The following is a 12302-nucleotide window of genomic DNA, read 5'->3' as shown; positions in this document are numbered from 1 at the left end:
AATTTTAACTTTATGGATTCTCACTATTATCTCTGTGTTTTCAATTTTATTAACTTCCATTTTCTTCCTTCTACTTTCTTTGGATTTGCTGTTTATTGCATTCTTCAACTGAACTCCATTTTTCTGGATTTTTTGGTCCATTTGTTCCATGAATTATGAAGAGATGTTTGTTAAAAATTTTTACATTGCAGATTTGTATATTTCTCCTTGGAGTCTGTCAGTTTTTGTTTTCATTTTTTTGAGGCATATTATTAGAAGCACACAAATATATCTTTCTTCTTAGAGACAGGGCTTCATTCTGTCATCCAGGCTGGGGTTCAGTGGCCTAATGGAAACTCACTGCATCCTCAAACTCCTGGGCTTAAGCAGTCCTCCCACCTCAGGCTCCCAAGTAGCTAGGACTACAGATGTATATTACCATGCCTAGCTCATTTATAAAAAAATAAAATTTAGGAGACAAGTCTTGCTATGTTGCCCAGGCTACTCTGGAAAGCCTGGCCTCAAGCAACCCTCCAACCTCGGCCTCCCAAAGCACTGGGATTGTAAATGTGAGCCACTGCACCCAGCCTACAAATATATCTTTCTGTTGAATGAGATCTTTTGCCATTATGAAGTTACTTTATCTCTAATAATGCTTTTATGTCTTAGATTCTACTTTGTCTGATATTAATATGGCTACATCAGTTTTCTTTTGATTAATAGTAGCATAGTATATCCATCTTCATCCCCTTTTTTCTATATTCTAATGTTTTAGATCTCTCTCATATAAACATTATAAAGTATGTTTTTTCAAAAAAAAATCCTGATAATTGGTTTCTAATAACTGGAGTTTTTGTCCACTTACACATAGGTAGTTAATGGTATATTTAGGTTTGATATCAACTGTCTCATTTTGTGCCTTCTATTTCTGTTCTAGGTTCTTCTTTCTCTCCATTTTTGTCTTCTTTTAGAGTAACTGTTATTATTTCATTGCTCTGAACCTCTACCAGTTTTGAAGATTATATCCGTGGCTTCCTTTTGAAATGGACACATTAGAAATTACAATATGAATCCTCAACTTTAAAATATAATATCAGACATTATTCTTCCTTACAGACAATTCAAGTAACTTATTTACTAGCATCTTAGCTTATATGCATTTCTTATGCAATAACTATTTTATTAATTTCATTTTAATATCTCTTCTTTATTTTTTTCTTGCATCTCAGACTTTCCACCAGCGACCACTTTCCTTCTACTTGAAGTTTCCTTTAGTGAGGACCTGATGGTAGCAAACTACCTCCACTTTTGATTGTGTGAAAAAAAAGTGTTTAATGTTGCCTTTATTCTTAAGAGATATTTTAACATAAAATACTGGATTAACAATTACTTTCCTTTATCACATGGAAGATCCTCTGGCTTCTAGCTTCTGTTTTATTGTTGAGACATTGGCTTTCATTCTAGACAGGGGTCAGCAAATTACATGCCCTGGCCAAATCCAGCCTACAGCCTACCTGAGTGAAGTTTTACTGTACAGCAACCATGCCCATTCATTTCCACATTGGCTATGGCTGTCCTCACATTATCACGGGAGAGTTGAGTATTTGTAACAAAGACCACATGGCCTTCAGAGCACAAAGCAACTACTTCTTGGCCCTTTTTAAAGAAAGCTTGCTCACCCCTAGTTTAGCAGCCACTCACTTTGAAAGCCATTTATTTTCTCTGGTTTCTTCAAGGATTTCTCTCTTTCATTTTCTCCATTTTCACTACAGTATGCCTCTTTCTATTTATCCTTCTTGAACTGTTTTGGGTATCTTGAATTTGTTGACTAATACCTAATATCAGTGCTTAAAAATTCTGAATCATTCTCTCTGTTAGCTATCTATTAGTGCATATAAAATTCACCAATTAGCTGCTAAGACAATAAACATTTATTATATCTCACAGTTTCTGTGGAAAGGAAATTTGGGAGTGACCTGGCTGAGCAGCTCTTGCTCAGGAGCTCTCATAGGCTGCTTTCACACATCAGCTGAGGCTGTATTCAGTTAATACTGAAGGATTGCCTGGCATTGGAGGATCCACAGTGAGTAATTCACATGGCTGGCAAGGTGGTACTGGCTGTTGGTGGAAAGCCTCCATTTCTCTTCAGATGAGCCTCTCCACCCAGCATGGTGGCCTCATGAGATGATGACTGGCTTCCCACAGAGCAAGTATTCCAGGATAGAGAGAGAGTAGGCAAAAGCTACTCTTTTAAAGATGTAGCTTTGGACACAGTATCATTGATATCACATTCTATTCATTAGAAGAAAATCACTAAATCTTGTCTATACTCAAAAAAGAGGTAAATTAGGCTCCATCCAGTAAAAAGAGGAGTACCAAAGAATATGAACCAATTTTAAGACCACCCATTCTTTTTTTGTTGTTATTGAGATAGAATCTCACTCCATCACCCAGGCTGGAGTACAGTGGCGTGATCTCAGCTCACTGCAACCTCAGCCTCCTGGGATCAAGGGATTCTCATGCCTCGGCCACCCACGTAACTGGGATTACAGGTGTGCACCACCATGCCAGGCTAATTTTTATATTTTTAGTAGAGATGGGGTTTCACCCTGTTGGCTAGGCTGATTTCGAACTCCTGAACTCAAGTGATCCACCCGCCTCAGCCTCCCAAAGTGCCAGGATTACAGGTGTGAGCCACCACACCTGGGCCCCATTATTCTTTATAATATTTTTCCCCACTCTTATTTTCTGTTGCTCCACTTTGTTTTTGAATTTCAATTAAATGTAGGTTAAGCTTTCTCATTGTATCTATGTCTCTTACCTTTTCTTCTGTGTTTTCTATCTCTTTTTACTGTGTTACACTATAGATAATTTTCTCTGTCCAATCTTTCAGTTAATCAATTATATTATTAACCATATCAAGTCTGCTATTAACCTCATGAGGTTTTCAAGTTCAGTCATTTCATTTCAGAAAACTTTTTGTTAATCCAAAAATGAATTGTGTCCATATATTTCATTTGGTTCATTTTCAAATCTACTAAATCACTTCCTGCAATATCTTATTTCTTGCAAATAACTTTGTTTTGCTTTACATTTCTTTAAACATAATTATCAATTTTGTTTCCAGATCTGTCTCTGCTAATGTCAATATCTGAAGTCCTTGTGGAATTTTGTATGCTTTCTCTGCTGATTTTATTTAAGGAGGCTAATTTTCTCATATGCTTGAATCTTCAGTTAAATACTAAACAATTTTAGTATTTAAAGAATTGTTCTGTTCTGCCCTATACACAGGGAACACTCTGAGTCTACAAACACCTTAAAACCAGCTCAAGATTTGAAATTCTGGGAAAACACAGAAGATTCAGTCCCTGGCTGTAATTCCTCAAAAGAGCTTTCCTACTTCTTCTTCCCTCTCTCTCTCAGTGGTTAGAGACTTTGAGAATTGTAGGTGAGTGTGATCAGAGGATTGGCTAGACTCCTACTTTATGACAAGATGTTTATGTTTGTCCATCTTACCCCAGAGGGTAATCAGATAACATCCTTGAGGGAACAATGTAATTAAAAATTAGAACTGAGATTGAACCAAGGCTCTTATGTTTCTCCTATGCCATACCTGATCTCTACAATCAATAACTGGTAATGTTGGACAGTGATGATTATGGTATTGCCTTTTCTTTCTCTTCTCCCACAACAGAGCCTCCAGGGGAATGTCCTACTCAGCAATATCAAGTCATATAAGAACTTAGGTATGCTGGTGAAAGGAGTTCATAGATGCTGAAGGCAGAAGCTCTGCCCTTTACTATCTAGGCTGCCAGTGAACAGAAGTAAAACCTTCAATCTGAGTAATATGAGGGGTGCTAGCTGACTACTGGGAGAACAATCGTGTACCTTCTGAGACAGGGCTGCCACTACTGCAGAAATATAACAGCACTGTCTCTAAAATAACAGGGTATTTTTTCATGGTGCATGTCAGCAGGGCATCTGACTGATATACCGCATTGTTTTCAATCATGGTTTTATGAGGTCCCCATTAAACATTGAAAACCAAGCTATATAATTAGAACAGTAATTAGTCTGAAGCAGCCTCTGTGCCTTATCCCCTTTAAAGTTTTTAAGTAAAGCAAGGATGATGAATATTTAATATACTGTACCTCATTGTCATCTGATAATAAGATTTGTTATAGGGTTATAAAATGTTATGTTAGGTTCTTACAGCACATCATTAATATTGTAAAATGTAGCTGGCCTCCCAGGCAGAGCTGTCTGACAGAAAAACAATAGAAAGATAAGTGATATCAACCATTTTCTCCAAGGGCTTAGAAGACAACCAAGAGGTCAAAAGATGTTTTTAGTGCATTTGATATACATTAAAGAGAAAAGAAGGGAGAAGACAATGAGGAAAGTAAAAGAGAACAAACACACAGAGGTAAAAACACACACAGGAAAACACACAGAGGAAATTTCCAAAAACATACAGAAAACAAAGAAAAGAGGTAGAGAGGTGATTAGTTGTGGGAAGAATTCAAAGATCAGGTAGAAAGTTGGATGGAATAAACATTAGTTTTTTGATACATTTAGATACTAGGATTCCATGTTCCCTTAAAAGGGGGTTAGTATATCTCACCCCATAATATGCCACTTTGACATAATAATGATTTTGAGCTGGAAGCAACTGAGACAAATCAGACATAGGAAGAGTTCTCTATCCTTCCCCATCTGCCTAAAAGCAGGGCATAAATTTTCCTTGTTAAACAGGTGTCCCTTCTTTCCCATATCAGAAAGAGGAGTGCCAAAATGAGTCTATATAAAGAAATGTTGCTAAAGAACTCTTATCTACCATTAGTTTCCTCCATATATGTTCTATTGACCCTAGAAGTCCAAACTCCTTTCCTTTTTCTAGGCTCTTCTCCACAACTTATCACCCTTTGTTAAAATTGTATATAAACCCCAGAGTACAACTGCCTCTTTGGATTTTTCACTTCTTTTCTGTGAAGCCCTCATGCACCTAAAATTAAAAATATTAGCATCAATAAAATACATGTGTTTTTTTCTTGCTAATTGTTCTTTTATGAGTTTAATTATCTGACCCCGGTTATAAAAACCTAAATGTGTACAGAAATAGTTTTTCCTTCCTTACACCTTATGTTTGAAACTATAGCCATAGGGACCTCATGAAGCAATTTATTCTACCTCATGGATTCTCTGAAATAATCCAGTAGCCCTTCCAAATGATTGCTGCTATCCACAGAGTAAACTCTGACAATAAAATAAGTATTGCTTGGCAATAGCAATAGTAAACCAAGATTAGAGTTTAGACATTGTTATTTACTTCTGGTCCATTTCTGTCAACTACATAAACAGGCTAAAGTTTAAAAGTGATAACCAAAATCTAATTTAGGGCCATAACTTTCAAACCATTAACATCAGAAGGGACCTTGGCAATTATAACAGTCTATAGTAGTTAGGAGTATGACCTTAGAAGAGAGAGAAATTCATGTTTCATGCCTAACATACATTAGCTGTGTGACTGTAGACTTCCTAGGCATCACTCTCCTCATCTGTACAGCTTACAGTTGATAATAACTAAGATTATGCAAGTAATGCACTTAACACAATGACTGCTTGTTTTAAATAATAAATATGAACACTGATGCTGACAGTGAAAAAGAGGAAAAGAAGACGAAATTATCCAACTTGCTATTTTACAAATAAGAAAATTAAGGCCCAGAGAGGAGAGATAACTTGTTAGAGACAACATAGCCTATTATTGCTGAAACAGAGGGCAGAGTCAAAAATCTCTTTTTCACTGTAAGCTACAATTTATGGCTCTTATTATGTATCTATGTTGGCATTAGGTGCATTAGGATCAATAAAAAAAGAAATACACAACATGGTCTTTAATGTCAAGAAATAAGATTATCTATTGAACACTGGGAGAATATAAAATTTATGCCATGACTAACATTTATTTAATAAGTATTATAGAAATTACATATGTCTGCAAAAACTTATGAAATTGAGAGAAAAATTTTTATGCTATAATGCAAAATTTAAAAGAAAATAACATTATGTGTAGATATATAAGAAAGGAAAAAAAAAGACCAGAATAAAAGATACCAAAATAATGACAATGATTTTTTTCTCTAAGTGGTTTTCTTCTTCATCATGCTTTTAACATATTTTCCATAATTTCTACCAATGCACATATTACTTTCTAGAATTATAAGAAAGATACGTTTTGTCTCACCAAAGGAACATTACATACAGTGGGAAAAGTGTCTATTCACAATAACAACTACAGCATATATAAAATATCCAGAAATACAAGTTTAAAGAAGGTTATAAGACTTATATAAATAAAACAAAATAACCCCTAAGACAATATTATATTGTACTGACTCCTATAAAAAATTTCTCCAGAAAATAAAGCTCTTCTAAACTTCATCTAGCATTCAAAAACTATAATAATTAGAAAAAAATAATTTAAGACTAAAGAAAATACAGATAATTTTTCAGTCATCTGATTGACCAGGTTGAAACAGACAGACAATGCCCAGTGCTGGCACTTTTGGTGGACATGTACTACCTTTCTAAAGGAAAGTTTGGCAATATGCATGAACATTTCAAATGGGTATGCTCTCTGACCTGTTGACTCTCAATGTTAGTAATTTAAGGAGATAATCAGACGTGTACAGAAAAGGTTGGGGAAGCACTGTTGTGTTCACATAGAAGGAAAGAACAACCTAAAAACAACTAAGCATGGCCACCATGAATTAAATTATTGAGTAAATAAATCATAGTTCATTCATACGAAGGAATTTTAAGTAGCCACTAAAAACTGTATGGCTCTAAACTCATGGCATTTTGTTAAATGGAAGGGGAGATTACAAAATAACACGTGTAACATGTAATACTTATGTGAAATTACAAACACACTGAGAAATATTTGGGAAAAGGGCCATTTCACAATGTTGAGATTTTGAGTTTGGGGGTTTTTGTTTGTTTCTTACTTATACTTTTTTATTGTTCATTTTTCCCAATAAGCTTGAATCATGTTCATAATCATAAATAAACTACAAAGTTCATTTCATGTTGGAAAAAAAATAGTATTTTCAGTGAAGAGACAGGAAAACAATAGAGTGAGTCAATGTAATCTAAGGAGAAAAGATGAATCTAAAATCTTTGTTTTGCTAAATTACTTCAATCTCCTCCTTTGTCAAAACTTATCAAAGAGTCCAGGGAGTTAGTAAGCTGATTAGTTTACAAATGTTCTTTATCTTCTCTAGAAACTATAGCAATTTTAATGAGCAGGAAAATGTCCAAAAAAGGAAGAAAAATAGGCTATCCAACTCTGGGTAAGATATGAAGATAACTTCTCTAGGGTCCTAAGAGATGGGAAGATAAGATAATCTGAACCTAAAGAGAGATTTGGAGTTGGTTTGAGAAAGAATATTCAAGCTCAGAATCCCTGGAGATCTTCAAGCAGAGCTGGACCACTACTTGTTGAAGATGTTTTACAGGAAATAGGCTTATCAGAGTAGGCACTGGACTAGATGATCTCTGAGTTACATTCTAATCTAAAACTGACTCTGTTTCTCTGTAGCACTTAAAAAAAATTCCAAGAAAATGGTGGCTTGAATGCAATTCCTTTACTCTCCTCAATTCAAATCATTTTATTTCATTGATATCAAAGCCTGGGGCTCTGGTGGCTGAGTGCAAATTGGTAAGAGACCCAGGGTGCATACAATTTATCAGCCTTTGTTAAAATTATATATAAGCCCCAGAGTGTAACTGCTTCTTTGGGAGAATAAAAGGGAAGGCTTTCTTTGTTATGTACTAGAAAGACATGTTAAGACTACTGTCAGAACAAGGAAATAAAGATTTACTTCTCTTAAGAAAAAAAGAGAGAGAGAGCCTTGGGAGAAGGATTTCAACTAAAATGTGGATCTTGGGAATGTTTGGCTTACAGAGATCTGTGGACCCAGGGGACAGATAAACAGAGGCCCTAGTGTCTATCAGATATCTCAGGCTCCTCGAAAAAATGTTAACAGGTGAGTGAAGCATTCCCACCCTTCAGGCTGAGTGAGTACAAGAGACAGGAAAGCAGGGAGATGTACTCCAGGTTAACAATACCTCAGAGCAGCATAGCAGCCAGAGACAGAAAGATCAATCAAAACAAACAAAACACAGAACCAACCTTTGATAGATGCTAGAAGAGACAGATGACAATTTGAAAAGAAAAAAAAATAAGAGCTTAGGGATATCTGTGTATACCCCCTTTAGCTTCTACTCCCATTCCTCAGGAGTACTTTCCAGAAATAAAAGAAATAGTTTCCAACTAAACTATTTAGGAGATGAATTAGGGGAGAAGATGTTCAAGATCACTGCTGAGACATGATTTAGTGGCCTAAAAAAATTTAGAGTGTGAAGAAATACATAAAAAGATAAACATCACAAGACAAAAAAGATGAAAATGAATTGGAGGAGGACTATGAGAGATTTAACATACAAATCAAAAGAGCTCTAGAAGATGTGTTTTTTAATTATTGTGGATGCATAGTAGTTGTACATATTTATAGAGTACATGTGATATTTTGATACAAGCATATAATATGAAATGATAAAATCAGGATGATCAGGATATTCATCACTTCAAGGATTTATCATTTCTTAGTGTTAATAACATTTCAGTCCCACTCTTTTAGTTATTTTGAAGTGTACAGTAAAATATTTTTAACAATAAGATCTATTGTGCTACCTAAAACTAGATCTTATTCTATTTGAGTCTATTTTTGTACACTTTAGCCATTCCCTCTTTACCCACCTCTCCCTATTACCTTTCTAGCCTTTGGTAACCATAATTCTTCTCTCTATCTCCATGAGTTGAATTTCTTTTTTAGCTCCCACATTTGAGTGAGAACACACAAAGTTGTCTTTCTGCACCTTTCTTATTTCACTTAACATAAGGTTCTCCAGATCTATCCATGTTGCTGCAAATGACAGGATTTCATTTTTTATGGCTCAATAATATTCCATTGTGGGTATGTACCACATTTTCTTTATCCATTCATCTGTTAATGGACACACAGGTTGATTCCATATCTTGGCTATTGTGAATAGTACTGCAATAAACATGGGTGTGCATGTATCTCTTTGATATCCCAGTTTTCTTTCTTTTGGGTATATATGCAGCAGTGGGATTGCTAGATCATATGATAGATATAAATAGAGACAACAACAATTCAAAAATTGAGAGGGATGGAGTTAAATTGTAGAGTTTTTTGTTTTGTTTTTTTTTGTTTTTCGCATTTCAAGTTTATTAAAACTTTAGCAGCACGAGTTATCCAGATTGCAGATTATCAAAAGATCAACTCAATGAAATCCACATTTTAAAAAAAGGGGCAAGCATAAAACAACCCAAAAACAATGAAAAGGAAAACAACATAAAGAAGATTCACTAGCAAGTCTCTCAAACTTAAAATTCAAAACAGAACGGAAATAAGTTTATATAACTCACTCATCCACTTTTGTCTTCATATGTTTCAGGGCTTGATTCATAATCAAATTTTTTTTCTTTCACGTACATGGTCACTTTCTTGACCCTTTGATTCTTGGTTTTCTTTTTCCACTGAGGATCTGATCTTCTCATCCTCCTTATTTTTCAATGTGGAGGACTTTAATTCATTGTTCTGACTGCTTTGTTTTATTTTTGAGAAGAGACTTTTATCTATATCAGCCTTTTTTTCCCCTGCTATTATTTGAGCTATTATGATCATGACTTTTACAGTACATTCTTTTCTCACTCTCAGAATTTTCTTTCTGTGTGAACTCTTACTTTCTTGGTTTCTGTGTTTTTCTTTGTTTCTGTTTTTACTTTCTTCTGTCTCTGAGCTCCGTGAGTCTCTCCTCCTTCTACCCCTATCTCTACTTCTTGATCTTCCTGGTGGTGTTCTTCTCCCTCGGCTTTGTGACTGTCCTCTCCTCCTGTATTCCTTTCCTCTGTATCTATGGTGCTCCTTGCTTCTGCTGCAATCTCTGTCATGGCTTCTTGATCACACTCTTCTGCTTCTGTCCCTACTTCTGCTTTGCTGTTCTGTTCTGCTATTATAACTGTGTTTACCTTCAGTTATATCACATTCTCTACTCCTGGATTGTGCACATCTATCCTTTTCCTTAGTTTTACTATGATCATGCTCATTACTCTTTGATTCTAACTGTTTAGACTTCTCTTTACTTCTACCCCTTTCCTGATCGTTTCCTTTTGAATCAAGCTCCTTTTCTTTTTCTTTAACATTCTCATGATCCCTTCCTTTGCTCCTTGACCTCATCCTCTTTTCTTCATGTCTATTATGTCTTGAATCTCCTTCTTTACTCTTTGATTTCTTTTTGCTCTTACTCTTAATTTTAGATTTGGCCCTTTTCTTCACTTTGTTCGTATTGTATTTATCATCTTTTTTTGAATTTCTTCAGATGTCTCTCTTTGCTGTTAGATTTACAGTCTTTAACTTTCTTTTCCTTTTCATTTTTTCTGTTTGGACTCTCAGATACATTCCTGTGGTTAGTTATTTTTCTCTCTTTTACTCTAACTAGACTTCTCTGATTTTCTTTTATTTCATTCAACTCACTCTTATCCCCTTTGATCCATCTTTCACCACTTGATACCCTCATCCTTTGAGCTCTCGGCATCTCTTGCCTCCAATGTGCAGGAGTCTCACTAAGTCTGAAACAATCCCTTGATCTGGATCTGGAAGGAGTTTGATAGCACCTTGATCCTCTTCCTTTAATTCTCCTGCCAGATCTAGTAACTAAAAGTCGTCTCTGGTATGAAGCAGGCTGGGAGTTAGATAGATTACATTCTCTTTCTCTTTTTCTCTCTCTCTCTGGCTTTTCCTTTCCATTGCATCAGCTATAGGAGGACTTTTTCTCATCAGGAAATCTATTTTCAGGTATAGGAGGGATCTTTTCTGGATGGACAGTAGACTGGGGTTGTGCTCTAAGATTTTCAGCTTCACTCTTACTAGATTCACTCTTCTTGCTTTTCTTTCACTTCTTCTTTTCCTTCTTGTGTTTTTGGGAATTTTTCCTAAGTTTTTTCCTCTTTTCTTTGATTTCTCTTCAGAAGCATTTTCGGAATCACAGGAATCAGGTGAGAACTGAGAATCATTTGAGCTATCTTAGTCACTAGATCATGAGGAGGAAGATGATGATGATTTATACATTTTCTTTTCTTCTTTCTTAACTTTAGATTTGGGAATCAGCTCTCCACAACTGAGTATCTGTACCTCTGTAAATGCTTTGCTAGCGGCATCCATCTTGTGGTTTTCTATCTCTCTCACAACTTCTTGGCTAGAGATTACTTGCCCAAAAACAACATGATGCCCATCTAAATGAAGAGTTGGTTTCATTGTTATGAAGAACTGTAAACCATTTGTATCCTTCCTTCTGTTGGCCATTGACAAGAGAAATTCTTTGTTGTTTTTAACAGCAAAATTCTCATCTTCAAAAAATTCTTCTTAGATAGATTCCCCTCCTCGTCCATTTCCTTCACTGAAGTCAGCACCTTAAACCATAAAATCCTTGACAACTCTGAAAGAGACAACTCTTACAATGTAATGGCTCTGAGTTGATTTCCCTGTCCCCCTTTCACCTGTACAAAGACAACTAAACTTCTCACGTGTTTTGGGGCACACATCAGAAAATAATTCAAAGACAACTCTTCCAGCAGGTTGTTAATGGCAATGTCAAAAAAAAAAAAATCGAGGACATTGAATCTTTATTCCCATGGCTCCAATACTTAATCTTCAAATGAAGGCAAGACCAAAAAAAAAAAAACAAGGACAACTGATCCCTTGGCTCTTGCACTGGTAGAGTTTCCTCTTCTTTTGGTCCAATCCTTTAAACCGCTTCATATCTACCCCCTCCAGAAAAGGAGCTAAAGCCCGCTAACTGCCTCCCTCCTCGACAGTTGAGTCCTAATTTTAGAGTTTCTTTTTTCTTAGTTTTTTCTTTATTTGCTTGTTTTTTCTATTCTTTGTAATCAGAGTTGTCATCAGTTTAAAATAATTGATTATAAGATGTTATTTGCAAGCTTCACATTAACCACAAAACAAAAACATATAATACACACAAAATAAAAAGCAAGAAATTAAAACATACTGTCAGAAAAAAATTACTTTTATACAAAGGAAGTCAGGAGGAAAGGATAAAAGAAAGAGAGGATCAACAAAACAACCAGAAAACAAATAAAATGGCAGTAGCAAGTCCTTGACTATCAATAATAACACTGAATAGAAATGGGGTAAATTATAAATTATCTAATCAAA

The 12302-nt window shown here is 35.4% G+C and overlaps 1 pseudogene; it reads right to left on the bottom strand.

The window, feature by feature from the left end:
- Positions 9277-11953, bottom strand: PPIGP1 (peptidylprolyl isomerase G pseudogene 1; annotated as a pseudogene).

The sequence above is a fragment of the Homo sapiens genome, chromosome 5 (assembly GCF_000001405.40).
Source record: "Homo sapiens chromosome 5, GRCh38.p14 Primary Assembly".
Classification (NCBI taxonomy): domain Eukaryota; kingdom Metazoa; phylum Chordata; class Mammalia; order Primates; family Hominidae; genus Homo; species Homo sapiens.
Note: the sequence above shows the minus strand (reverse complement) of the source record. Positions and strands in the feature narration are given on the sequence as shown.